This window comes from Homo sapiens, chromosome 20, assembly GCF_000001405.40.
Source record: "Homo sapiens chromosome 20, GRCh38.p14 Primary Assembly".
Taxonomy (NCBI): Eukaryota; Metazoa; Chordata; class Mammalia; order Primates; family Hominidae; genus Homo; species Homo sapiens.
Window position 1 is genome coordinate 62,951,097 of NC_000020.11, and position 25,821 is coordinate 62,976,917.

General features: G+C 60.2%; 1 protein-coding gene across 4 annotated transcripts, besides 7 other annotated features; it reads left to right on the plus strand.

Annotated features, from left to right (window-relative positions):
* Positions 1,023 to 1,852: an enhancer, noted in NCBI's record as "H3K27ac-H3K4me1 hESC enhancer chr20:61583471-61584300 (GRCh37/hg19 assembly coordinates)". NCBI's record gives its function as "activates a minimal SCP1, AML or CMV promoter by ChIP-STARR-seq in naive H9 embryonic stem cells {active_cell/tissue: H9 hESC(naive)}" and the evidence as "EXISTENCE:reporter gene assay evidence [ECO:0000049][PMID:30033119]".
* Positions 1,404 to 1,723: a silencer, noted in NCBI's record as "silent region_13138". NCBI's record gives its function as "represses an Ori minimal core promoter by ATAC-STARR-seq in GM12878 lymphoblastoid cells {active_cell/tissue: GM12878}" and the evidence as "EXISTENCE:reporter gene assay evidence [ECO:0000049][PMID:35858748]".
* On the plus strand, positions 1,613 to 18,489 carry SLC17A9 (solute carrier family 17 member 9). Of its 4 annotated transcripts, NM_001302643.2 has the most exons (14): positions 1,613 to 1,793; positions 2,115 to 2,176; positions 5,669 to 5,866; positions 6,345 to 6,484; positions 9,408 to 9,507; positions 11,528 to 11,658; positions 12,177 to 12,273; positions 12,488 to 12,584; positions 13,132 to 13,219; positions 14,036 to 14,070; positions 14,514 to 14,629; positions 15,429 to 15,484; positions 15,607 to 15,636; positions 16,241 to 18,489. In NM_001302643.2, exons 2-14 carry the CDS (start codon positions 2,136 to 2,138, stop codon positions 16,402 to 16,404), a joined length of 1,293 nt encoding a protein of 430 aa, NP_001289572.2. In that variant the 5' UTR covers positions 1,613 to 1,793; positions 2,115 to 2,135; the 3' UTR covers positions 16,405 to 18,489. The 4 variants fall into 4 exon arrangements, 3 of the variants coding, with proteins under 3 accessions (NP_001289572.2, NP_071365.4, XP_011527280.1); NM_022082.4 differs by lacking the exon at positions 2,115 to 2,176; XM_011528978.3 differs by lacking the exons at positions 1,613 to 1,793; positions 2,115 to 2,176 and having other exon boundaries at positions 5,757 to 5,840.
* Positions 1,734 to 1,833: a silencer, noted in NCBI's record as "silent region_13139". NCBI's record gives its function as "represses an Ori minimal core promoter by ATAC-STARR-seq in GM12878 lymphoblastoid cells {active_cell/tissue: GM12878}" and the evidence as "EXISTENCE:reporter gene assay evidence [ECO:0000049][PMID:35858748]".
* Positions 21,454 to 21,513: a silencer, noted in NCBI's record as "silent region_13140". NCBI's record gives its function as "represses an Ori minimal core promoter by ATAC-STARR-seq in GM12878 lymphoblastoid cells {active_cell/tissue: GM12878}" and the evidence as "EXISTENCE:reporter gene assay evidence [ECO:0000049][PMID:35858748]".
* Positions 21,534 to 21,783: a silencer, noted in NCBI's record as "silent region_13141". NCBI's record gives its function as "represses an Ori minimal core promoter by ATAC-STARR-seq in GM12878 lymphoblastoid cells {active_cell/tissue: GM12878}" and the evidence as "EXISTENCE:reporter gene assay evidence [ECO:0000049][PMID:35858748]".
* Positions 22,267 to 23,116: an enhancer, noted in NCBI's record as "OCT4-NANOG-H3K27ac-H3K4me1 hESC enhancer chr20:61604715-61605564 (GRCh37/hg19 assembly coordinates)". NCBI's record gives its function as "activates a minimal SCP1, AML or CMV promoter by ChIP-STARR-seq in naive H9 embryonic stem cells {active_cell/tissue: H9 hESC(naive)}" and the evidence as "EXISTENCE:reporter gene assay evidence [ECO:0000049][PMID:30033119]".
* Positions 23,117 to 23,968: an enhancer, noted in NCBI's record as "OCT4-NANOG-H3K4me1 hESC enhancer chr20:61605565-61606416 (GRCh37/hg19 assembly coordinates)". NCBI's record gives its function as "activates a minimal SCP1, AML or CMV promoter by ChIP-STARR-seq in naive H9 embryonic stem cells {active_cell/tissue: H9 hESC(naive)}" and the evidence as "EXISTENCE:reporter gene assay evidence [ECO:0000049][PMID:30033119]".

The window sequence follows — 25,821 nt, forward strand, 5'->3', positions numbered from 1 at the left end:
TGGGTGCTGGCTGTGACTGCCCTGTCCGCAAGGTCACCCTGTGTCCTTGAAAACCCAGGTGTTGACTGTCTATTGTCCCTACATAATTTTTCACCTTAGGCCTCAAAGATGCTTGGGTGCGGGGCAGCTCTCAGAATCCACCAGAAGCGTGGAGAGCCTCCATCTGGCCACTACCAGCACCCAGCTTTATAATGTCCCTGTGAGATGGCCCCTTCACCCACCCAGCCATCCCTGCATGGCCCGTTTCTTCAGCTCATCCAGCCTTCACTCAGGTGTCCAGGGGTGCCTCCTCAGCCCAACCTATTTGAAGTAACACCCCTTCCCTACCCCTTTCACTACTTTGATTTTTGTCTACCTGCCCCAGAACATCAGCTCCAGGAGGAAGGGGACTTTGGGTAACCAGATGGCAAATGTCTGCTGCAGCATGATCACAGATCTCGGTAGGAAATCACCATCACAGAGTGAATGGAAGCGAATCACCTCAAAGAGGGTGCTGTTGACAGCGATACGTTTAGCAACAGTTTCCAAACTTCCTGGCTATGGGCTAGGGCTGTTTGGGGCAATAAACCTCTCTCTGCCACCATCTTTTCACCTACCCTACGTCAGGATGGATGAAAGTATGACCTTGCTTTTCAGGGTGCCCGTGTCTTTCTGTTCAGAGGGCCCTGGGAGCAGGCCCTGCAGTGCAGTGGGTTGGGCTGTTGGAGACCTGAGGGCTAGGGGGAGGGAGGGGGTAAATGTGGGTCTGTTCTAAGTGCAAGGCCCTGCCTTAGACGTGTCTCCCTCGGCCCCTGGGTGGTGGCTGCTGCGTGGAGGATGGACTGAGGTGGGCCCTAGTGGAGGTGGGGGCAACGCCTGAGGAGCAGGCCCTGCCGCCTCCTGGGGAAAGGCTGCATGGTTGAGGCCTTCCCCTGCTGGCTTCATCCTTGGCATGGCAGCAGGAGCACACAGAGTGGGGGCCCCACCCCGTCACCCCTGCCCCCGAGCCCAGAACCTGGCCTGTGATGGGTCCTCAGGACACCTTTTGTCCAGGAACCCAGGGGCCAATGACAACCTTCACAGGCATCTGCTGAGAAGACATGGGCCAGCGCTGGATTTGTCCAGCTCTCCCAGGCTTGGTCCAAGGGCTCAGGAGTGGACCCATCCCTGCCCCGAAAGATCCATTTTAAAAATCAGTGACCCTGTACTTTTACTCTCTTTGCACTTGGTTAAGACTTTATCCCTGATTTTATTTGATCGGTAAGGCAGGGACTGCCATCATTCCCCATTTTATAGACAGAGGACAGACGGCCCCATGGCTCCGTGTCGTGTCCAAGGGATGGGCTGGCACCTCTTGGACCAGGCTTACCACCAGGGCCCTTCTCTGAAGCCCCAGTCTGACCGGCCTGCTGCTGGGAATCCCCCTCTGCCCCCACACTAACCTCTGCTGGGGCTGAGCCAGGGCGCGTCGGACAGTCAGGGCGACCCAGCCAGGGCGACCGTTGGCCCCGCTCCTATGGGGCAGCAGGGACCGACGTCAGCAGGGTGGGGCGGGCACCCGAGTGGTATGCCCCGCCCTGCCCCGCCTGCCCGCCCTGGTGGCCGTCTGGGGGCGACAAGTCCTGAGAGAACCAGACGGAAGCGCGCTGGGACTGACACGTGGACTTGGGCGGTGCTGCCCGGGTGGGTCAGCCTGGGCTGGGAGGCAGCCCCGGGACACAGCTGTGCCCACGCCGTCTGAGCACCCCAAGCCCGATGCAGCCACCCCCAGACGAGGCCCGCAGGGACATGGCCGGGGACACCCAGTGGTCCAGGTGTGGCGGGGGTGAGGGGAGGGGGGGTGGGAGCGGTGGAGATGGGGCCGTGGGGAGGGAGCTGAGATACTGCCACGTGGGACGATGCTAGGTGGGGAGGGCTGAGCTGGGCGGGCTCCTCTGGCTGTGGGGCCCCCTGTGTTCCTTGTGGGAGGTGGAAGGAAGTGAGTGCCCTGTCCTTCCTCCCTGCCATGAGATTCCAGGACCGGACCTGGCAAGTGCCCTATCCCAGCCAGTGTTCCTGGGGCTCTTCCAGGCAGGGCTATGTTCCCCAGGCCAGGGGCATTGTCCTGGACAGTCAGGAGGCATACCCCTCGCCAGGTGGAACCACCCTGTGTATGCATGACCCTGACAAGCAGGCGCCAGGACAGTCAGGAGGCCAGGTAGGGGGCACGGGCTGGAGCCTGCAGCTGGACGGGGTTGGGGGGGGTCCTGCCACCACGTGCCAGCTGTGTGCTGAGGACGAGCTCCCCGCTGGCTTCAGCTCTCGGAGCATTTGGTGGTGGGGAGAAGCAGGGCCTGGGCAGGTCGCCTGGCCACCAGCACTGCTGCCTGTAGGAGGCTCCCTGGGCAGGTGACGCCTCAGAAACCGGGCGAGATGGTGACCGCGGGCCATTGGTCAGCTGGGGAGGGCCTCTGCCAGGGAGCTCCTGAGAGCAGCCCCCACACTGCTGAACCCCTTGGCTCTGGGTCTTGGGCTGAGGCCTTAAGTGGCTGGACCCTGGGCCTAGACTCAGGCCCTGTGGGTTCCAGAGCAGTCTCCTGCCTGCACTGAGTCCCCAGGGTACCTACCCTGACCATGGCAAGGTAATGGCACCTTCTGGCCCCACCAGTTCCCAGCTGTATGAGGGCTGAGGACCCTAGAAGTGCTGGGAAGAGTTGTAGGAAGGCCCAAAGGGGCAGTGCCACCATCGGATGTTGGCACCCAGATGAAGGGAGCGCTGGCTGCATGGGAAAAGCTGGCAGCCCAGATCACAGCCCTGTCAGGCGCCAATTAGAGGGGAGGGCTGCCCTCAGCGGGCCCTGCCCCTTGCTCTCTTCCTCTTCCCCCACCCACGTTCATCCAGGCCTGCCGGGCAGGGCCAGCTCCCCAGGGATTCAGGGCCTCCTCACTGGCGGCTGGTTTGAGTGGCTCCGCCTTCACTACGTCCCTCCCAGGCTCGATGTTTAAAAAGGAGCCCTTGCCGCAGCCTTCACTACGTCCCTCCCAGGCTCGATGTTTAAAAAGGAGCCCTTGCCGCAGCCTTCACTACGTCCCTCCCAGGCTCGATGTTTAAAAAGGAGCCCTTGCCACAGCTCTTCAACTTCCTTTGCAGGCCCTTATTGGGTAGCGCCAAGGATTCTGGAGGGGCCTGTGGGTCAAGGCTGCCACACGCACGCCTTTTCCTAGCCCGCCCTCCTGCAGCCACATCACAAAGGCTGGGCCAGGCGAGAACAGAGCTGGAGGGCGGCACCCACACTCTCCGGTTTGCTGCTCGCCTGGCCCGGCCCCGCACAGTTCCCTTTTCTGAATGGAGGGGCCATGTGACCACCTGTTTGCTCAGCCGTGGATGCTGCTTCTGCACAGGGGCCGTTTGCTCTAGAAAGTTCACAGGAAGCAGGCTGCTGGGCTCAGGGAGTGCAGAGTGGTGGGAGGAAGCTGTTCAAGCTGCCCAAAGCTTTCCGGTTCTTGGCACACCCCCCGTCCCCCGCGCCCCCAGCAGGATGGAGGATTCCCAGCCTGGGGTCCTAGTCAGGCCTCAGGTAGCCGACTGTCTGGGCCATCCTCTCCAGCCTGACATCCTTGTCTCCCCGGCAGCTGTGGAGGGTGCCCCTGTGCCCACCTGGCCAGCACCACCTGCCCAGCTCAGAGAAGGGGCTGTGGCTGCCGCCTGCCACGTAGGGCAGATTGCTTGCCTGGAAGGGCTGTTCTTGACTTCCTCCTTCCAAGGAGGCCCTGGAGTGGCTCTGTGTTCTCAGTCCTGTGCTGGCCTCAATGGGGGTGAGGATCAGTGCAACTGAGCTTTCTGCTGTTTCTAGCTAGCGGCCAGGCAGTGCGGGGCAGGTGCCACCTGGACACAGGTCCCCCACCTCCCCCCCTTTCTTTTTCAAGACAGAGTCTCTCTCTGTTGCCCAGGCTAGAGTGCAGTGGTGCAATCTCGGCTCACTGCAACCTCGACCTCCTGGGCTCAAGCGATCCTCCTACTTCAGCCTCCCAGCTGGGACCACAGGTGCACACCACCACACTCAGCTAATTGTTGTTTTTTTTTCTTTTTTTTTTTGAGATGGAGTCTCGCTAGGTGGAGTCTCACTCTGTCGCCCAGGCTGGAGTTCAGTAGTTTGATCTCGGTTCACTGCAACCTCTGCCTCCCAGGTTCAAGCGATTCTCCTGCCTCAGCCTCCCAAGTAGCTGGGATTACAGGCACCCGCCACTACGCCTGGCTAATTTTTACATTTTTAGTAGAGATGGGGTTTCACCATGTGGGCGAGGCTGGTCTCGAACTCCTGACCTTGTGATCCTCCCGCCTCAGCCTCCCCAAGTGCTGGGATTACAGGCGTGAGCCACCATGCCCGGCCCTGGCTAATTTTTAAAGTTTTTTTTTGTTTTGTTTTGTTTTTTTTTGTAGAGCTGAGGATGTCCCCATGTTTCCCAGGCTGCTCTTGAACTCTTGGGCTCAAGTGATCTGCCCACCTCGGCCTCCTAAAGTGCTAGGATTACAGGCATAAGCCACCGTACCTGGCTCTAAAGCTCCTTTTTAAAGGCACCTTTGGACTGTGTGGCTTTTAGTGGAAAGTTAAGGGTGGGGGCCCCCATGTCCCTTCTGCAAGCCTCGTGTGTTAAGTCAATGAAAACTGTTTACAGAGAGCCTGGGGCTAGGTAAACAACAGGGCTGCGGGTATCAACCACGCCAGGACAGGGCGTGGAGGCCAGGGCTGTACTGGGTTAGGCAGCCTGGCAGTGAGGACTGTGTCCTTCTGTGGTAACCCAGGGAGCAGCCAGATATGGGGCAAGCCAGTTGTCCCCAGAGTGGAACCTGGCTGCAAATGACGCTGGCGAAACCACACTCACTGCCAAGTTCCAGGACAGACAGCACTTCCTCCCACACAACTTTCTCCAAACTCCAGGGGTTAATGGTTGGCCCTGCCGTGGGGAGGGGCTGGAGCCAGGATAGCCTCTGGCAGAGCAGGAGGTGTCAGAGGACGCAGCTCTGGGCTGCTGGAGTGACCTGTTCTTGCCTCTGAGATCTCGCCCGGCCTCCCTCACCAGGATTGGGAGTGTGAGCTGGCCGGCCTGGCTCTGTGACCTCGGGCATGGTCAGTGCCCGACTTGGTGGTCTTTTCTCCCGTGGGAAGCGTCTAGGCGCAGACTTGCAGAGAGTGCCGAGAAGGCCGTATACCTGCCCCTCTGTCCACAGCACACCGTCATCCACTCACTCATCTGGGGCAGGTTCTTGGGAGCACACACCCGGGGTGCAGCCAGCTCCCCGCAGGGGCAGACAGGACCTTTTGGGAAGGGTGGGGTGAGACTCTCCAGTGTCCGACTCCTCTGCCACCCATCTCCTGGTCACCCTCTCCCCTGTTCTCTTTGAGGGGAACAAGCAGGGCCCGGCCCAGGCACCTTTTGTGGGGATGAGTCGTTGCTGTGACCTGCCCGAGTGCTGGCCACTCAGTTGCTCCCAGGAGCCACTGTGCCTCATTTCTGGCTGCCTGTGTTCTCCCAGGGGTCAGCAGATAGGTGCGATTAGGTGTTTGAATGCTTGCCAAGTTGCCCTCCATCAAAGCTGTCCCCATTCACAGTCCATGTCCCCCAGCCCTGAGGGAGGTCTCTGAGTGATGAACTCGAAGCAGCAGGGCCGTGGGGCCTCCCCAGGGCCTGACCATCTCCTGTCCCACAGGCCCGAGTGCCAGGCATGGACGGGGACGCTGCTGCTGGGCACATGCCTTCTGTACTGCGCCCGCTCCAGCATGCCCATCTGCACCGTCTCCATGAGCCAGGACTTCGGCTGGAACAAGAAGGAGGCCGGCATCGTGCTCAGCAGCTTCTTCTGGGGCTACTGCCTGACACAGGTTGTGGGCGGCCACCTCGGGGATCGGTAACTGCCCATCTTCCCCATCTCCTGGCTGGTGGGGGCCGCCCCACTGGGGCCTCCAGGGGCGAGTGGGCTGGCTGTGCTGCTGCACGCAGAGGATGCGACTCCTGGGGAAGGAGCTTGGTGGACACAGAGGATGCGACTCCTGGGGAAGGAGCTTCGTGGACACAGAGGATGCGACTCCTGGGGAAGGAGCTTGGTGGATAAATCTGGGCAGAAGACCCCCCCAGAGGAAGATGGGAGCTGGGAGGGGAGAGGCCAGGCTTGGCAAGGCCCCAGGGCCCTGCAGGCAGAGGAGGCAGGCCGCTCCCCTGGAGTACCTGGTCTCCTCACGAGGCAGCTCTGGGGTCATGAGCAGGCCCTGTAGAGGCAGACAGGCCAGGCCCAGCTCTGAGCACCCACTCAAGGGCTGCCCTGAGTCAGGGTGGTGCCCCTTGGTCCTGCACAGCCACATCCTCACCTCCCTCTGTCTTCCCTCCAGGATTGGGGGTGAGAAGGTCATCCTGCTGTCAGCCTCTGCCTGGGGCTCCATCACGGCCGTCACCCCACTGCTCGCCCACCTGAGCAGTGCCCACCTGGCCTTCATGACCTTCTCACGCATCCTCATGGGCTTGCTCCAAGGTAAGGGGAGCTCAGGCGGCTCCCTCACGCTCTCTGGCACCAGGTGGGGAGACAAGGGGGGTGTGCACGGATGTGTGTGCAGGTGCATGCGTGCATGCAGGTGGTGTACAAGTGTGTGTGTATGGGCATGCCCGCGTGCATGCGTGCACCTGTGTGTGTGTGCGTGTGTAAGTGTGTGTATGGCATGCCCGCGTGCATGCGTGCACCTGTGTGTGTGTGCGTGTGCAAGTGTGTGTGTATGGGCATGCCCGCGTGCATGCGTGCACCTGTGCGTGTGCGTGTGCAAGTGTGTGTATGGGCATGCCCGCGTGCATGCGTGCACCTGTGTGTGTGTGCGTGTGCAAGTGCATATGTCCCTGCAGACACGTGTATGCAAGCAATGTGCATGTATGTTTGTGCTTGTGCGTGTGCGTACGTATGTGTGCATGCACATGTGTGAGCATGCACTTGTGCGTGCAGGTGGTATGCATGCGTGTGCATGCCTGTATGCATGTGTATGTGTGTGTGCGTTCCTGTATCCATGTGTATGTGCGTATGCGTGCCCATATGCGTGTGTACGTGCGTGAGTGTGCCCGTATGAGGGTGTACGTGTGGCCATGTGTGTGCCTTCTGTAGGTGCACACTCTGCAGTGATACACAGGATCACAGGGGGCACCTGTGTAGTGAACTTGCCCCTGCCCCTGAATTTTGTCACCAAACGCCTTAGTTCAGTGGTGGATTCCAGCTGCAAGGGACCTGCTGTGGGACTCTGGGTTTTGTGCATTTTGGTCACACGTATGCTGATGATGCCTCCGATACTAGGGCCTTGGAGCGCCTTAACTGTCAGGAGAACAAGGTGGGTGGGGGGGCCAAGGGGGCTTTGAGGGGCCCCTACTTGGCTGGGGTCCCCTGGAGAAACAGCCAGGCCTCCAGCCTGCAGGGGCCTGCTGGCCCCAACCCAGCCTGCCTGGCCACCCCACCCATCAGCAGTTCCCTGCCTGGGCCACTCCTCCCCCAGTGTCCTGGGCCATCCAGACCCCCCACTCAGGACTCCCCCTACCTTCCTGAGCCGGCATCAGGTTCAGAGCGCTGGCCATGGCTCCCCTAGAACCTCTGCCCTCCCTCTCCTCCAAGTCCAGAGACTTTGGGGAGTTCACTCCCAGGCCTCGTTCTCCTCCCTCTCCACACCCTCACTCCCCAAGGTTATGGCCTGGAAGGTGCTGCCTGGGACTGTCTCCATAACAGAGGAAGGGGGTCTGCCCAGGAGAGAGGCCACTCTCATGGTCACGGGGTGTCACATGAGAACAAGGGCCCAGTGCATGGCCCACCCTCAGAAGAGGGTGCAGCGAGTGCAACTGAGGACTTAGGATTGTGTGTTTACTGTGAGGCCCCATCCCAGAGCCAGCCCCTCCAGCATCACCGCCTCCCCAGGCACTGCCCAGGTCCCACTGCAGGAGCTGGAGGAGGAGGGGAGGAATGAACGAATCGGCAACCACCTGGAGGGGAGGACAGGCCTGGCGGGGGGTGGGGGCCCTCATCTTTGTTTACTGGAGGGTCTTCGGGGTGAGGGAGGAGGGTCCCAAGGCTGAAGCTGTGAGGAAAACAGTGGTGCTGCCTCGGACTGGGCTGACCAATGCCTCTAAGTGTCGCTGAGAAGACCCTCGGCCCTGGGGCAGGCGGCTGTCCTCGTGGGCAGCTCTGGGGACCCAGCAGGCAGCCAGACCCCGTAGGCTCGCTGCCGCTCCAGCTGCGCTTCCTCTGCGGGGCCCAGCTTGTTGTGCTACGATGACTTGGCACCTGAGGCACATTCTGTTTTCTAGAAACCTTCAAAGTCTGGCACGTCTCAATGTCAGATGTCATCCTGTGCCCATGAGCCTACTCTGGGGGTCTGGGGGGCAGCAATGGCGGCTGCGTGGTAACGGTGGGCACCACCTGCGGCTGGCTTTGCCGTGTTTGTGCACGCTGTCTTCGGGCAGAGCAGAGACGCCAGGTGTCCCAAGACCTGTGGCTCTTGCTGCGGGGCATCGGACTTCTGGAGGGAGCCCCAGGAGCTCCGCCAGGCGGCCCCCAGCCTCCCTCGAGGGAGCGAGGGAACGGGCCCTGCCTCTGAGCCGTGAGCCTATGAGTGAGCGCTCTGCGGTTAAAAGTTACAGGCGCTGGCCAGGCAGGCGCTTCCTGTGTGTGGCCGTCTGTTTGACGATGCCCCCCTGCAGGGTAGCATCAGCGCCCTGTAGACACGGCCCGTGGGTTTGGGGGACAAGCTCCTGTTGTCACCGTGGCTCCGCGGTGCCTCCCCTCGCAGAGTCCCTCCAGGTCAGGCTCAGAGCCCTCTGGATGTGGAGGAGCTGCATGGGGTGGTAAGGTGGTTTCCAAACTTCTAAAGCGGCTGAGAACACTTGGTCCAAAAGAAATCCTGGGAGGAAGCTCAGTTTATAAAACAGGGAAGGGCAGCTTTCTTGGGGGAAGTATGTGTCTGTGCACGCATGCGGCAGGTGTCTGTGCACGCAGGTGTGCATCTTCATGCGTATGCGTGTATCTGCATCAGTGTGAGCACAATGCAGCACTGCCAAGAAGTGTGCCGGTGAACACGTGCGTGTGCAGGCGCATGTGTGTGTGTTGGTGCGAGGACTCTAGAGCACAGCTGGAGGCCGGTGGTGAGAGTGTGCACATGTGCATGTGCGTGTTCGCGGGGTGGGAGGGCTAGCTTGGAAGCAGGGGTGTTTCCCTCAGCCGTGCGGGTGGCACGACCCTGAGCGAGCCTCACCCAAAAGGAGTCTGTTTCCTCAGTGGCACCAAAAGCCCTGCCCTGCTGGTCCCTCGGGTGGGGAGGTGAGCTAGAGGGACAGGTGGACGTCCTCTGGAATCACAGCCCAAACCTGAGCAGATAGGCCGGGAGGAGCCTCCCTGGATGGACCCTGAGAGACCCTCCCTCCACTTGTTGCAGGGGTTTACTTCCCTGCCCTGACCAGCCTGCTGTCGCAGAAGGTGCGGGAGAGTGAGCGAGCCTTCACCTACAGCATCGTGGGCGCCGGCTCCCAGTTTGGGTAAGTCCTGGCCTAAGACGGGGCCCAGGAGAGGCCACCAGGTGAGCCCCTTGCCGAGTGGCCCCTGGTCTGCGTGGGGGATGGGCCACATGGGCTTGCAGGGCCACCATGGTGAGGTGGGTCCCGCAGGCGCCTTTTGGGCTCTGTAGCCCGAGGCTGTGCTCTGCAGGTACCAGCCCCGGGCACCGCGCTTGCTTTGTGCATATTTCTGCCTTTCTGGAGTGGCTGGCAGGTGATGAGGCTGGGACTTGGGGACATGGGTTGGAGGAGTGGCCACATCATCTCATTTTCTTTCATCTGTGCTAACGATGCCAGATGCCGTCCCCACCATCCGCTGGCCCCCACCCTCGACAGGAGAGTCTGTGAGCGCAGGAGCGTCTGGGCCAGGGTGGGCCTATCAGCTGGCTGGAGGGCGGCTTGTCCTCAGGGTGGGCCTATCAGCTGGCTGGAGGGCGGCTTGTCCTCACGGTGGGCCTATCAGCTGGCTGGAGGGCGGCTTGTCCTCAGGGTGGGCCTATCAGCTGGCTGGAGGGCGGCTTGTCCTCAGGGTGGGCCTATCAGCTGGCTGGAGGGCGGCTTGTCCTCAGGGTGGGCCTATCAGCTGGCTGGAGGGCGGCTTGTCCTCAGGGTGGGCCTATCAGCTGGCTGGAGGGCGGCTTGTCCTCAGGGTGGGCCTATCAGCTGGCTGGAGGGCGGCTTGTCCTCAGGGTGGGCCTATCAGCTGGCTGGAGGGCGGCTTGTCCTCAGGGTGGGCCTATCAGCTGGCTGGAGGGCGGCTTGTCCTCATCCACGATGCGGCAACCCCGTGCCCCTCAGTCCTCCCTCCCTGCGCCCGCTCCTTGGGGAGCTCCAGACCCTCTAGCGATGCTGGCGGCCTGGATCGAGGCCAGGCCAGGGGTGGGAGGCCTTCCCGGTGGTTGTAGCAGGGTGGATTGGTGCAGGAGCTGACCGGGGCTTCCCAATCACTGGGCTCAGGCCCTCGTGTTACTGTTGCTGAGGTTCAGAGGGGCGGAGGCGGCCCCTGTAGGTGGGGCCGGGAGCAGGCCCAGGCAGGCCTAGAGTGACCAGATTCATCAAGTAAAAACAGACTGCCCAGAGGAATGTGAATTTCACATAAACCGGAGGGGATATACTTCTACTAAAGAATGAATCCTCACTTCTCCGAAACCCGGTTTCATTGAGTGTCTTGCGGTTTTTCTGCACCCAGGTGGGGAGCAGAGACAGGGTCAAGTGTGGGCTGGGCTGGGCAGGGAGAGTGCTACCCCAGCCCGCCCTGGTGCCCAAGGCCAAGTCTTGCTACCCCAGGAGCTGTGTCCACCCCGCAGAGGCTCCGCGGGAGGAAGGAGGCCCCATCTGGATGCCAGGCCCCGCTTTGGGGCTCTCTCTCTTCCTCCTTTTGCCATGATGTTAACTATTCCCCCTGGTGCCAGTGGAGGGGCCTCAGCAGCAGATGGGGGCTGGGCCGCCAGCCAGGTTGCACCCAGAAGGGAGCCTCTGAGGGGCTATTTGGGACAATGAAGTCATGGGGACGGGATGGGGGTTGTTGGATTTGGCCGTCATGGTATTTTTGCATCCAGAAGTCTTTTTGAATTTTGTCCTCAATGATGTTTGAAGCACAAAAACCGTGCGGAGCTTCACTGTGGTATATGCTCATCACCGTCTCCTCCTCGGTGCCGTTTTTAGTTGAAAAGGATCCACATGACAAATTGTAGGCCAATTGGAAGGCCTAGAAGCAAGATGTGAAAAACAATGTGAGTTCCACAGCAGCCGCCCGACTGGGACACATGCGTGGCTGGTCCCAGGTTCGCCCCAGCCCTGTGTGCCCGGAGTCTCCCCTGAGTACCCGAAGTCCTTAACAAAACAGGCCAGGACGGTGGCTTCTGAGCTGCTCCTCTGGAGGCGATGAAAACACCCTCTTCTCCAGGGGCTCAGCCTGCACCAGGGTGGGGTTTCTGAGAGGCCCCTCCTCACCCGAGGGGTGCCGCTGAGGGGCCTGGCCACACTCCCCCTGTCTTTGCAGGACGCTGCTGACCGGGGCGGTGGGCTCCCTGCTCCTGGAATGGTACGGCTGGCAGAGCATCTTCTATTTCTCCGGCGGCCTCACCTTGCTTTGGGTGTGGTACGTGTACAGGTACCTGCTGAGTGAAAAAGGTAACGCAGGCCGGGCGGGCTAGTCCCGGGCGCCCACAGCTGCCCAGTGCCTCCTCCCCTGGTGGCAGCCGCTGAGCAGCCTGGAGCAGGAGCCCGGAGACGATGGCTTTGACCTCCCAAAGAATCCGCCAGTGAGGAAAAGCGCTCGGGTGCTGAGCTGTCAGCGGCTCCGCCACCCAATTCGATCTGGAAGGTTCCATCTAGGGCTAAGGCAGACACCCAGGAAGACCTGCTGGGCACAGGTCAAGGCAGGGTGCAGGAGCAGCCGAGTCTTTGGGTGGCCAGGGGGCTCTGGAGGAGGCCGTGTGGAGGGTCGTTCAGAACGCGGTTCTCAAAGGTGATGCTGCCTGTTAGGTGTCTGGTAGGGGAGGCCAAGGGAGGCTGGCGCCCATGTGCAACCTGAGGCATGGACGAGGCCTGCTGACCCCTCTGGAACCACCCCCAAATCCCCAATCCTTTGGCAACGGGTGGCGCCTCCCGCCCTGATAGCCATCAGTTTGAAACCGTTGCTCCCTCAGATCTCATCCTGGCCTTGGGTGTCCTGGCCCAAAGCCGGCCGGTGTCCAGGCACAACAGAGTCCCCTGGAGACGGCTCTTCCGGAAGCCTGCTGTCTGGTGAGCTGGGACCTGTGCCACCCCTTGGAGCAGCGGCAGGGCCGGTGACCATGGGGGTGTGAACCTGGCCGGACCTGACAGCCCTTGAGCCAGCAGGGCCTAGGGCTCAGAGAAGTGGGACTCTGGCCCCCAGGGGACGCCTCTCGGGGTGGGTCCCACAGGCCCGGCCAGCTCGTGCGGCACCAGAGTCACGGTCCACCATTGGGCCCCGCAGGGCAGCCGTCGTCTCCCAGCTCTCTGCAGCCTGCTCCTTCTTCATCCTCCTCTCCTGGCTGCCCACCTTCTTCGAGGAGACCTTCCCCGACGCCAAGGTGAGTCGGGGGCTCCCGCAGGGTGAAGGAGCGCCCAGAAGGCACGAGGCTTGAGCTGCACCAGGCACTGTGGGTCCTTGGCCTGCAGATGGTGGAACCCTCGGCTCCTCCTGGACTCTGAGGGTCCTGGCACTGCCAGGCTCTTCCTCTGGAGAGGACCCCGTCCATGCTCGGGGCAGGTTTCTGTGTTTGAGGCTGGAAATGATGCGGGCGCTCGGTGCCTTCCTGCTGCGGCTGCAGCCCTCCCAGCCCTCATCGTGACCTGCTGGCCCACAGAACCCGACTTCAGAGCCTGAGGAGGCCGGTGCAGAAGCCGGGATGTGGACAGAGGGGTCACCTGCGGTCAGCACGGTTCCTTCTCTGAGGCTGTCTTGCTGCCCTGCCGGGTGGTGGTCAAGAGCTGCACATTCCCAGGAGCAGGGCTGGCCCTGCCGGAGAGCTTTCCTGGGCAGTGGTGGGCACGGGGGCGCTGTCCAGCCTGAGTATCCTCTTCCAGATGGCCAGATGCCGGCCCTGGCCCCCTCTAAGGCCAAACTCCCCCCTGCAGGGCTGGATCTTCAACGTGGTTCCTTGGTTGGTGGCGATTCCGGCCAGTCTATTCAGCGGGTTTCTCTCTGATCATCTCATCAATCAGGGTGAGCCCCAGGGAGGGGACCGGGGCTGGAAGCCACACCCTGGTTCACCTCGCTTTCGAGGGGCAGGATGCTCCCATCCTGGGGCTGCAGCTTCAGCACACGGAGAGCTGGGACAGAGGGGCACTTCTTTCCAGGCTCGGCCTCCTCCTTAAAGGGTGGGGTTAGACTGTGGTGGAGGGTCTGGTCTCACGGTGACTGTGGAGCTCACCCCTGGGGGCTGGATGCAGCCCCTGACCCTCCAGGAAGGCACCTGGAGGGGTCAGAGGTTACAAGCATCCTTGAACCTTTGGAAGAGCTTCTGTCTTTGTTCCATGTGCTCCAGACCCACGCTGGGATGAGCCCCGAGCGGGCTGCGTGTTTCTTCCCCTAGTGCAGTGTCCGCTGCACAGACACGTACAGGCGGATGCACACGCGTGCCCACATGCTCTCTCCACACGTGTGCCTATTCTTAGAATGTTCGTGTTTTTCCTAATTGCAAAAGGAATACACACTCGTTGTGGAAAAGCTAGAAAATCTGGAGCAGCAGAGGAAGTGGGGCCGCTCGCCTGTTTCCGCCTCTGTAACTGCTGTGTGGCTGTTCTGTGTTTCTGCCCAAACCCACGCCTTGGGAACCTTCCAAAGGCGCACATGCGGCCTCGCGGCTGCACCCCACATGCGTGTGTGCACACGTTTTTGCCTGCAGCACGGGATAGCTGTCTTGAGCCCCAAGCCTCTTCCTCCCCTGCTGCCCCTCTGCAGCCATTCGGGATGGGACCCCCTCTGGGGTGTCAGCACGAAAGGGCTAACGGGAGCCCCTTCCTTGGCCTCCCCCTGTAGGTTACAGAGCCATCACGGTGCGGAAGCTCATGCAGGTAGGAGAATCATTCCGGTCGTTCTCTCTGGATATCCCTGCTTTGTTCAGGGTCTCCCAGGAACTCAGGGTTGTGTCCCCAAGTCACCTGATATCTGGGACCAGGCAAATGCCAGGCCTCTCCATGTGTCCAGCACTGGGGCCCAGAAGGGGCTGTTTAGACAGCTGTTGGGGGGAAGGCTGGGGTCAGCATCCTGTGCCCCTCTGGGCCCAGGCCTGAGCTTGCCCACGTCGAATAGGGCCTCTCCCTTGGAGCGGGGCTGATTCTTGCGGAGACTCCTCCCAGACCTCCTCTAGGGGGCCTGGTCTGAGAGAAGTTTGTGGTCGCAGCCAACCTGACCGTTGTGCGGTGCGCCCAGGGGGGCTTTCGGGCAGCTGAGTCAGGAGAGGGCCCTGCTGCAGGCGGGCTGGGTGCCTCTCCGTCACGGTGGCGCTTTCCTGCAGGGCATGGGCCTTGGCCTCTCCAGCGTCTTTGCTCTGTGCCTGGGCCACACCTCCAGCTTCTGTGAGTCTGTGGTCTTTGCATCAGCCTCCATCGGCCTCCAGACCTTCAACCACAGGTGAGGGCCGACTGCTCCATCCACCAGAGCGCCGTGCTGCCCGCACGGCCGAGGCCCGCACATGTGAAGAGGGAGCTCTGTCCGCCTCTCTCAGTCTCTTCCTCACACTTCACCCCCTTCCCAAGCTGCTGGGCAGTGACTGCACTGAAGACCCAGTAGTTCTTTAGGAACCAGCAATTCACTTCAGTGAGCAGCACGTGCGCGTGATTTGTGCGAACATGCTTTCCCCACAGCACTTTACTCTAAGGAGTCGCTTCCTGCACTGGGTCCTCCATGAAGACGGGCAGCTGGGGCTCGGGTTGGCATGGTGTGCAGGGCTGCAGTGCTCTGGCCAGTGGGTGGTTGGGGCTCGGGTTGGCGTGGTGTGCAGGGCTGCAGTGCTCTGGCCAGTGGGTGGTTGGGGCTCGGGTTGGCATGGTGTGCAGGGCTGCAGTGCTCTGGCCAGTGGGTGGTTGGGGCTCGGGTTGGCGTGGTGTGCAGGGCTGCAGTGCTCTGGCCAGTGGGTGGTTGGGGCTCGGGTTGGCATGGTGTGCAGGGCTGCAGTGCTCTGGCCAGTGGGTGGTTGGGGCTCGGGTTGGCGTGGTGTGCAGGGCTGCAGTGCTCTGGCCAGTGGGTGGTTGGGGCTCGGGTTGGCGTGGTGTGCAGGGCTGCAGTGCTCTGGCCAGGGAGCAGGCCTGAGCGTGTCCCAGCCCCTCCCGTGGCTCCACGAGACCTTGCTTCCCCGCTTCCCCTGTGACAACCCTGGGCCACCAGCTCGGTGGTGGCCAGGGCCACTCACCACCCTCTTTCCTCCCCACAGTGGCATTTCTGTTAACATCCAGGACTTGGCCCCGTCCTGCGCCGGCTTTCTGTTTGGTGAGGACCTTGCCTTACCCCAGCTTTGCCCCTCCCTGGGCCTCCGGGTGGGTGAGCCATGGGGGATCCCGGAGGGCTTTTGCTGACCATCCATATTCTCTCTCGCTCTGGCCTCTTCACAGGTGTGGCCAACACAGCCGGGGCCTTGGCAGGTGAGGGGCGGGCCTCTGTGCCCAGGAGTTCCCCTGTCTGTGGGGTTTGAGGCCACCGAGGTGCTGCAGGGTGGGGTTGTGCCTCCCTTCAGAGGGGGTCCGGGTGTCAGAGGAGGGCACAGACCCCAGAGCAGGCCCAGGAGAGGAGGATGGGGCTGCCTTCCAGGTTCCACTGGACTTTGCTGACGGCAGGTGGCTCATGAGTCGCCATCTGCCCTGACTCACAGATATGTTCCCATCCTGGTAGCCCAGGGTCCCCGGGACACCTCCTGGCCCCGCTGAGTGCCATGGATGATGGGGGTCCTTCTTCAGCTCAGCCTCGCCTGGGCCGGCCTGTGGCTCCCATTTTCCTTTCAGCGGGACAAAGGGGACTTGTTACCAGGCCATTTTCTGGATGGCCTGTGAGATCTCTGCCCCTCCAAGACCCTCCAAGTCTGAGCCTGACCCACAGCTGGGACACTGAATTCAGCCCTGGGAACCATGGGGGCTCCTATCAGGCGCTAGACCCCCAGCCCTTCCCCTGGCACTACCTTGGGAACCAGGGTGGGGTGTGGGGCCTGGGCTGCCCGGGAGCACTCAGCCCGCCTGGCCCTCTCTTGGGCAGGTGTCGTGGGTGTGTGTCTAGGCGGCTACTTGATGGAGACCACGGGCTCCTGGACTTGCCTGTTCAACCTTGTGGCCATCATCAGCAACCTGGGGCTGTGCACCTTCCTGGTGTTTGGACAGGCTCAGAGGGTGGACCTGAGCTCTACCCATGAGGACCTCTAGCTCCCAACCCCACAGCCTCTCCAAGGACCCAGGCGCCAGCAGCCCCAGGACACAGGGGACTCAGTGTGTGGGACTTGGTCACTCCATGTCAGACACACGAGCAGAGAGGAACACAAACCACTGTGGAGCCTGAAGCTCCTTAAGAAGAGTCCACAACAGCTGGTGGGAGGGTGGGGTGGGCCTGGGTCCAGACCAGGCTCGCTGCTCTCTGGGCCTCAGTTTCCCCACCTGCCAGCGGGCTCGGCCCTGTCCTCCTCACAGGCTGGTGTGGCCGTCAGGGTGGGTGGGGTTATTGTTAGTAGGCGCAGCCTCATTCCCACCACGATCTGTTCCGCGTGGTTCCCGCCAAACCTCCCTCGGTCGCCGTGTTCTCCGCAAGCCTCCTGCAGCGCCCGCCTGCCAATGTGAGGCTGGCACCAGGCTGCAGCCTCCCCAATCCCAGCCCACTTTGCTGTGTCTCTGGCGGGCTGTCCTCCTTGGTGGGAGCTGTCCTGCACACTGTAGGATGCTTAAAGGTATCCCTGGCCTCCACCCACCCCTAGCCAGCAGCTCCCAGTCAGACAACAGCCAGAAATGTCTCCAGACTCTGCCCAGCCTCCCCAGGTAGCCACCCTCGAGACACGACCTCAGAGTCTCTGTGTCTCCTAGAAGCCTGACAGAGACCCCCAGGGCAGTGGGTGGGTGGCGGGCTAGAGACCCTTGCCTGTGTCCGGGACCCTGGCGCCGCTCTCCCCTCCTGTGGATCCCTCCGCACTAACAGTGTTCTCAGTGGGCAGACGCCTGGGCACCCCTTGGGCCCTGCCCAGCATGGCCATGGCGCAGGCTCTCGAACCCGCATGGCTTTCCCAGGCCTGGTGATTCTGCTCTCCAGGGACGGTTGGCACCTTCCTCGGGGGCGGGCCCCACGCACCCCAGAACACACAGACCCACCTTTCTGGCGTTCTTTCTACCTCCCTTTTCGTTGCCTGAGGAGCTGGTGGTTTCATGAGTTAATGATACATCTTGCAAGGTGTACACATAGAGAAAAAAACCTAAAAATGTGGAAAAGCACGCCAAAGCCTTATTTAAATAATAACTATTAAACTATTCAAAAAGAAGACTGTTATTTTATTTAACACCTTTGTTTTTTAAGAATGAACACGTGTTAAAGACTTTCTGTAACTAATTTCATGAGGAAACGAGTGACACGTTGGAATCAGGTCAAAGGAGAATCCCAGGAACGGACTCCTAGGCCGGGAGTGTTGAAATGAGCATGCCAGCAGAGCCAGGCTGGGTTTCGGGGTTCCTTTGCCGCCAGGGGTCCTGCGTGTCCACAGATGACAGCGATGTACCCTGCTATCAGCTGTCCACCCAGCTTTCCCAAGATGTGGGGCCCCCATGGAGTCAGACAGCCCAGCTGTGCTGTGGAAAGACAAAGTGGAGTTTTGCACTTGAGCACAAATGTTCCCCTACAATCTCTCCAGTTTCGGTCAGCCCAACCCTGTGGCACCATGGGTACAGCCTAGAGCATCACCCCCACAGAGGCTTCGGGACGGTCCTGCTGGACTGCTGGACGCTGCTGTGGGGTCTTGGGGCAGGAGGGGCTTCCAGAAGCCTGGCAGTTGCTGTCTGGAGGCCAGGAAGCCAAGCCCAGGAAGCCCACCTGCGGCTGAGTTCAGAGGTGGGGCCTGTGCGTTGTGAATGAATTGCTGTCTCTCTCCTCCTCATCTTGCACTAAATCTACATAACTTAAAATTTACCATTTTAGCCATTTTTAAGTGCACGGTTCTGTGGCATTAGGTACATTCGCATTGTGCAGCCACCGCCACCCTCCGCCTTCAGAACTTTCTCATCTTCCCAAACCGAAGCTCTGTGCTCATTAAAGGCTAGCTCCCCGTTGCTCTCCCCCAGCCCCGGCAACCCCATTCCACTTTGTGTCTCGACCGTAAGTGTGGCTGCTCTGGGACCAGTGCCAGTGGGCGCACGCTGGGTTTGCCTACGTCTGGCTTACTTCACTCAGCAGAGTGTCCTTCGGTTTTATCAGTTTTGTCACAAGTGTCAGCATTTTTCTCATTTTTAAGGCTGAATAAAATATTGTGTGGATAAGCCATGTTTTGTGTATCTGTTCACCCATTGATGGACCTGTGAACACGAGTGTGCAATTAGCACCTTTTATTTTTATTTTATTTATTTTTTGGAGACAGAGGCTCGCTGTCTCCCCCAGGCTGGAGTGCAGTGGCTTGATCTGGGCTCACTGCAACCTCCACCTCTCGGGTTCAAGCGATTCTTCTGCCTCAGCCTCCCAAGTAGCTGGGATTACAGGTGGCTGCCACCAAGCCCGGCTAATTTTTGTATTTTTAGTAGAGATGGGGTTTCACCATGTTGGCCAGGCTGGTCTCGAACTCCCGACCTCAGGTGATCCACCTGCCTCGGCCTCCCAAAGTAGTGGGATTGCAGGCATGAGCCACCACGCCCGGCCCCGGCCCTACTTTTTTTTTTTTCTTGGAGACAGGGTCTTTCTCCGTCACCTAGGCTGGAATGCAGTGGCACAATCACAGATCACTGCAGCCTCAACTTCCCTGACTCCAGTCGATCCTCCCACCTCAGCCTCCCGAGCAGCTGGAACCACAGGTGCACACCACCATGCCCAGCTCTCACTGTGTTGCCCAGGCTGGCCTTGAACTCCTGGGCTCAAGTGATCTGTCACCATGGCTTCCCAGAGTGTTGGGATTACAGGCATGAACCACGGTGCCCAACCAGTCAGCACCGTCTAAAATCCACAGCCAGCTGTAAAATCTCTGAGAGCAAGGAGGCAGCCCCTCCCAGGGAACTGGAGTGGAGAACCCAGAAGGGATACAGGACTAGGTGGGCAGTGCGGCCGCCCCTTGGGCTGCACAGTCCTGCAGGACCAACATTCCTAGGCCCTCTGGATTCTGTGGAGTTTCTGTCACTTCCTTGCAGAGTGGGGGCTGGGGAGGCCGTCATGTGGGATGTGGGGGCGCAGGCCCAGGCACGGCAGGCAGGCCCACCCCCTTCCCTCCCAGCAGCTTCTGGGTGCCACCTCCCCGGCCTTTCCTCAGGCAGATGTTGGAGCCCGAGTCAGGGAGACTGTGGGTGGTCTGCTTGTTCTCCAGCTCCAGCAGAGGGGATGGTGGGGTCTGCATGTTGTTGTCTGCTGCAGACAGGCCCAGATGCCATCTGCACCCCGTGGGGCAGCTCTGCAGGATCGTGGTGCAGGAGCTGTGGGAGCCCAACCCCCTGGCCCCCCAGTCTGGAATAAGGTGCACCGCGGGATGGAGCTCCTCAGCCGCAGAGTGAGCGCTGATGGCAGAGCATGCTCGTCCATTCGCCCGTGTGCTGGCTCCTTCTTCCAGGAGCTGTTCGGCCATAGCTGCTGACTGCCTCTGCCAGGTCAGCTCCAGGCTTGGGTGGCAGTCCTGACACGGCTGGGGCGCAGGGGCCGGGACGTGGGCGGGAATGAGAGGGAACCTGCCTGGGAAGGCTGGGGAGGAGCGTCCAGGCCCCGTGGTCATTTGCGGAGGTAGCGAGTGGCAGGGCCTGCTTGGGTGGATTCTGAGCCTGGAGGCCTCTATGCAGGCCAGCACAGACAGCCTCGGGCAGGAGACTCCCAGCCGCACACAGGCTCCTGGTCCTCCAGCTCGGTGCCCGCCCTCCTGGGACCTTGCTAGAAGGCAGAACGTGCTGTCAGTGCCACGTCAGACCCGGCTCCCAAAGCCCCCCCACCTCAGATCCTGATGCTGGCCCACGAGGAGCTCCCATTTCTGGGTCTGGATTTTCAGAACCCCCCCAACAAACCACTCTGCTGCTAGGTTGGAGCCCTGCGGGCAGCCGAAAGCCAGGAGGAGGCAGCAGGGCCCACGGCACCTCTCATCAGCGCCCTTGTGCCCTGGAAGCAGGGGCTCTGGCCAGCTGGGGCTGTGTGTGGGAGCATGTGTGTCTGTGTGTGTATTTATGAGTTGTGTGACCCTGTGTTTGAATGTGTGTAGGAGTGTGTCTGTGTGTGTATGAGTTGTGTGACCCTGTGTTTGAATGTGTGTAGGAGCGTGTGTGTCTGTGTGTGTATTTGAGTTGTGTGACCCTGTGTTTGAATGTGTGTGGGAGCGTGTGTGTCTGTGTATTTATGAGTTGTGTGACCCTATGTTTGAATGTGTGTGGGAGCGGGTGTGTGTGTGTATTTATGAGTTGTGTGACCCTGTGTTTGTGTGTGGGAGCATGTGTGTCTGTGTGTGTATTTATGAGTTGTGTGACCCTGTGTTTGAGTGTGTGTGGGAGAATGTGTGTCTGTGTATTTATGAGTTGAGTGACCCTGTGTTTGAATGTGTGTGGGAGTGTGTGTGTCTGTGTATTTATGAGTTGTGTGACCGTTTGTGTGTGGAAGCATGTGTGTCTGTGTGTGTATTTATGAGTTGTATGACCTTGTGTTTGAGTGTGTGGGAGCGTGTAGTGTCTGTGTGTTTATGAGTTGTGTGACCCTGTGTTTGAGTGTGTGTGGGAGCATGCGTCTGTGTGTGTATTTATGAGTTGTGTGACCCTGTGTTTGAATGTGTGTGGGAGCGTGTGTGTCTGTGTATTTGAGTTGTGTGACCCTGTGTTTGAGTGTGTGTGGGAGAATGTGTGTGTGTGTGTATGAGTTGTGTGACCCTGTGTTTGAGTGTGTGTGGGAGGATGTGTGTCTGTGTATTTATGAGTTGTGTGACCCTGTGTTTGAATGTGTGTGGGAGCGTGTGTGTCTGTATTTGAGTTGTGTGACCCTGTGTTTGAGTGTGTGTGGGAGAATATGTGTGTGTGTGTATGAGCTGTGTGACCCTGTGTTTGAGTGTGGGTGCGCATGCACGTGTGTGCACGCATCCGAGTGTGCATGTGCCTGAGTGTGCGAGTTGCCGCATGTGCGTGTGCGTGTGAATATGCACGTCTGTGTGTTCACGTCTGAGTGTGCACACAACCTCAGGACCTGGCCGTGGCGGTCATTCGCTGTCGGGCCGACAGAGGGTGCCGTCGGACAGGGCTGTGCCGGCTCTCTGAGCTCCCAGCAAAGCTGTCTCCTGCTTGGGACTCAGCGTGGGGGAGGAGCCGGCCGCTCTGCTGTGAGAGAAGGGAACGGGTTGCGAGGGAGACCTACGAGGTGGAGGAACAGCGTGGGGGATGGCAGGGGGCAAAGTGACGTCCAGTTTGGGGTGGGAGGAGGGAGAGTGTGAGGCCCAGGAGCGGGACGCGGGGGAGGGGGCCGGGCGTGGGCACCGGATCTTCTCAGGACTGGTGGGTGTGCCTCAGGGGCCTGATGGCCTGATGGACGGAGGGCAAGAACCCTTCCACCATCCGCTCCGTCCCCAGCCTGGGGCACCACGGCGCGTCCTTCCCCCGGGTGCGCAGCGTGTCCTGCCTCCCCCTTAAAGGACAAGGGGCAGAATCCTGGCCCAGGGCAGAGCTCCAGGCTCTCCTCGCCGCCCCTCCCCATGGTCCAGCACGCCCCCATGCCCTTCCCCTCAAAGACCACAGGGCCCAGCAGGGCAGGGCCGGGCTGCAGTGTGGACAGACGGCTCGGGTAGGAGTTCTGTGGCGGGGGCTGCAGTCCCGGCCCCATCCAGGACAATCATCGTCTAAGGAGCGGCTCCGGGTCCGCGGGCTTGGGGAGGCTGGGCGAGGCACAGGGCTGTGGGCACGGGATCACCGAGGACACCAGCTCAGGAACACGGGCTGGGGCGGGGTCACATGCGGGCGGTGCCAGCTCTGGTGGTCCGGGCGCTGCAGTGCCCACCGAGCTCTACGCTTGCTCTTTCCCACGGGACTTTGCATGAAGATTTCGAGTCCCTGTGACGGGGAGTCCTGTTGGAAATATTTACTATTGTGATGACCGGTCCGGAGAAGCTGGGAAACACAGAGGCCTGTGGAGGGGAGAACCAGTTTCCCGGCGCGCTGCAGTTGAGCCGTGGCTGCCCCTGCCAGCCTCGCAGCCCACAAGCCCTAGAGGCCCCATCCTGGTCACTTCCCGGCTTCTCCCCAAGCCCACTGCCCTGAGTCCTCCCGCCCCACCCCCCGCATGTCCCTCCAGGGCTGGGGCTGTGCCTGCCCGAGCTCCCTGACCCCCAGGTCCTGTCCCCAGGCCCGGACCGCCCCACGCCAGCCTCCCCAGGGCTCTCCTACTCACCTCCCCTCCTGGTAAGAGGCACTTATCTGTCATTTCTTTTCTTTTCTTTTCTTTTTTGAGATGGAGTCTCACTCTGTCGCCCAGGCTGGAGTGCAGCGGTGCGATCTCGGCTCACTGCAAGCTCCACCTCTCTGGTTCCTGCCATTCTCCTGCCTCAGCCTCCCGAGTAGCTGGGACTACAGGCACCCGCCACCACGCCTGGCTAATTTTTTGTATTTTTAGTAGAGACGGGGTTTCACCATGTTAGCCAGGATGGTCTCCATCTCCTGACCTTGTGATCCGCCCACCTCGGCCTCCCAAAGTGCTGGGATTACAGGCGTGAGCCACCGCGCCCGGCCTGTCATTTCTTTAAATCAGGATCTTTAATGGCCGCTTAATAGCCACCATTAGTATGTTAATAACCCCCCCCCCACTCTAGGCAGCCTGTCTCCCTATTTCTGGGCCATTGTCCTTCATCTGTGGGGCGGCAATACCTGGAGATCTCTGCTTGCCCCCTTGGGGACCCTGGACATCTATTCCCCTGGATGGGGACACTCGAGCTGGGACAATGCCTGGGGGATGCCCCAGTGGGAGCACCTCTCAGGAGCCCTCCAAGCTGCGTTCTGCCTGTCAGCAGTGGGTACCGCCGGGCTGCCCAGCCCCTCCCCTCCCCTGGGTCCTGCCAAGTCGGTCAGAAGGAAAGATGGGCAGCGGTTGGAATATACTTTTGACGGGAATTTACTTTATTGTGTTTAATTGTAAAGCGTGGAAGTCGAGGCATGAATATTCAGCGTCGCCGGCTGCTGGCGCGGAGCCGAGGTCTGTGTTCCGACGTGCCCAGCAGGGGGCCTGTCCGAGGGGGAGCGACGGTGAGGAAGCTATTTATTGAAATAGCTTCATTAATTAGTAATTAACAGCAGGGTAATGACTATGTCACACATCGTAATTCAGTGGATGCCCTTCATGTGTTATGAGGCCTTTAATTAAAGGACGTGCATTTTAATTAAAGGGGTGCTTGGCCCTTTGGCCTTTGCAATACAAAAGACGCTCTCAACTTTCAAAGAAGCTGACAGGGAGGCTGTGCTCGTGCATGGAGTGGGGGCTGCCGGGGGTGTCCACCCTCAGGGCACGCCTCGCCTTCCAGCCCAGCTCTGGCTGGTCCTCCTTGGAGTCCATTGGACAACCTGGTGGCCATGTGGGGTACAGGAGGGGCCCTGGGCCAGACAGCCATGGATGGGGAGGCCGAGGTCCCTGTGACCCCCCTTGGGGTCCAAGCACTCTTCTCTGCCCCCGCAACTTATCTATCTGTGGGTTGGAAATATAGTGTCTGAGAGGCACCAGGGACACTTGTCTCCCACACTGGTTTGCCAAAATTCTAGGGTCTTCCCATCCCAGCACTGCCTGGGCACCTTTGTGCCCATCGTGGGAGGGTGCCCTGCTGAGGCTGTTTTAAAACTGGCACCCACATTCTTTCCCTCAAGAGATGGAGCCTGTGTCCCCTCCCCTTGAATCTGGGGGTGGGGACTTGTGACTGCTTCTGAAGCTAAAATGTGATTTCTGCAGCTTCTGCCTGGATATCCTGGGCACTCACTCTTGGGACCCGGCCACCATGCTGTGAGGAAGCTGAATCACCCCACGCAGGAGCCACCTGGAGAGGCCAGACATGCACCTAGGGTGGGGGGAGGGGGTGTCTGAGCTGGTTGGAGGAGGGAAGGCTGTTCACTGAGAGAGCAGACCCAGGAGCCCCAGTGGCAGAAGGGGCCCGGCAGGGAGTGCTGGGCAGGGAGCGCCCATGTGCCCACCCGAGTGCCAGTGCCAGCCAGCTGCTGCCCGGAGAGCCCCGGCCCTCTGTAGCTATCTGGCCTCTGCTCATGGCTGTTGCTCAGAGAGAATCTGACCAGCACTGACTTCACCTCCGCCCACCCCCTGAGGCGGCAGCTGGACCTCAGCGTTGCTTCAGGAAGAAGTCCTCAGCCAATAGTGTCCATGCCAAGGACAAATCTGAGAGGCCACTAAAAATGCCAGAGACATGCAGGATAAAATACAGCCTGTCCCATTAAATTATTGATGCCTTTAACATTAATTACCATCCTCCAAACCTGCAGTGGCTCACATCTTCCCTCCTTCCTCCGGCTTGGAGAACCTTCAGCTAGAGCTCAGGCTGGAAATGTATTTTACTGTTTTCCCTGTGCCTCTGTCATGCAGGGGTCTTGGAGGTGCACTCCCACCCCAGCACAGGTGCCACAGGACTGCCTCTGGTGCCCTTGACCCACCCACACCAGCTCCACACCCACACCTCCCCCCAACCTTCCCCCAGCAGGCGCAGGACTGCCTCTGGGGCCCCTGACTCACCCACACCAGCCTCTGTGATGTGGGGGTCTTGGGGGTGTGCTCCCACCCCAGCACAGGTGCCACAGGACTGCCTCTGGTGTCCTCGACCCACCCACACCAGCTCCACACCCACACCTGTCCCCGAACCTTCCCCCAGCAGGCACAGGACTGCCTCTGGGGCCCCCGACCCACCCACACCAGCCCCACACCCACATCTGCCCCCAACCTTCCCCCAGCAGAGAGGCTCCAGGTCTTTCTGGCCCCTTCTCCCCTTGCCATCTATTTTTATGGCTGCCTATAGGAACGTTTTCCATGAATGGAATCTGGAACTCCCACACAGACAGGCCTGGTGCTGGGGTGGGTCTGACGGTGTCGTGTGAGTTACCTCTGCTGCCCTAGCGGGGTCCTGTGACAGGGCAGCCTAAACAACAAGAATGAGTTTTCTCAGCGGGGCACAGTGGCTGGAATCCCAGCACTTTGGGAGGCCAAGGCAGGAGGATTGCTTGAACCCAGGAGTTTGAGACCAGCCTGGGCAACATGGCAAGACCTTGTCTCTACAAAAAGGAAAAAGAAATATTAGCCGGGTGTGGGTGTACGAGCCTGTAATCTCAGCTACCCCAGAGGCTGGGGTGGAAGGATGGCTTAAGCCCAGGAGGTCAAGGCTGCCATGAGCTATGGTTGCACCACTGCCCTCCAGCCTGGGCGACAGAGCAAGACCCTGTCTCAACAAACAAAAACAAACAAACAAAAGAAATGGGCTCTCTCTCAGCTCTGGAGCCCAGAAGACCGAGATCAAGACCAGGACTGGTTCCTCCGGAGGCCACTCTCCTCCCTGTGTCCTTCTGGTCATCCCTCTGTGTATGTCTGTGACCAAATTTCCTCTTCTGATCCAGCCAGACTGGATTAAGACCAACCCCAGTGACCTCAGTTTGCCTTTCTTACCTCTTTAAAGACCCTAACTC

What these genes read in the sequence shown, in the direction of transcription:
- SLC17A9 (NM_022082.4), top strand. Translation starts at nt 1,735, where the DNA reads ATGCAGCCACCCCCAGACGAGGCCCGCAGGGACATGGCCGGGGACACC. An exon ending in TTCCGGAAGCCTGCTGTCTG is followed by an intron (nt 12,274 to 12,487) that starts GTGAGCTGGGAC and finishes TGGGCCCCGCAG; the next exon opens with GGCAGCCGTCGTCTCCCAGC. An exon ending in CTCCAGACCTTCAACCACAG is followed by an intron (nt 14,630 to 15,428) that starts GTGAGGGCCGAC and finishes TCCTCCCCACAG; the next exon opens with TGGCATTTCTGTTAACATCC.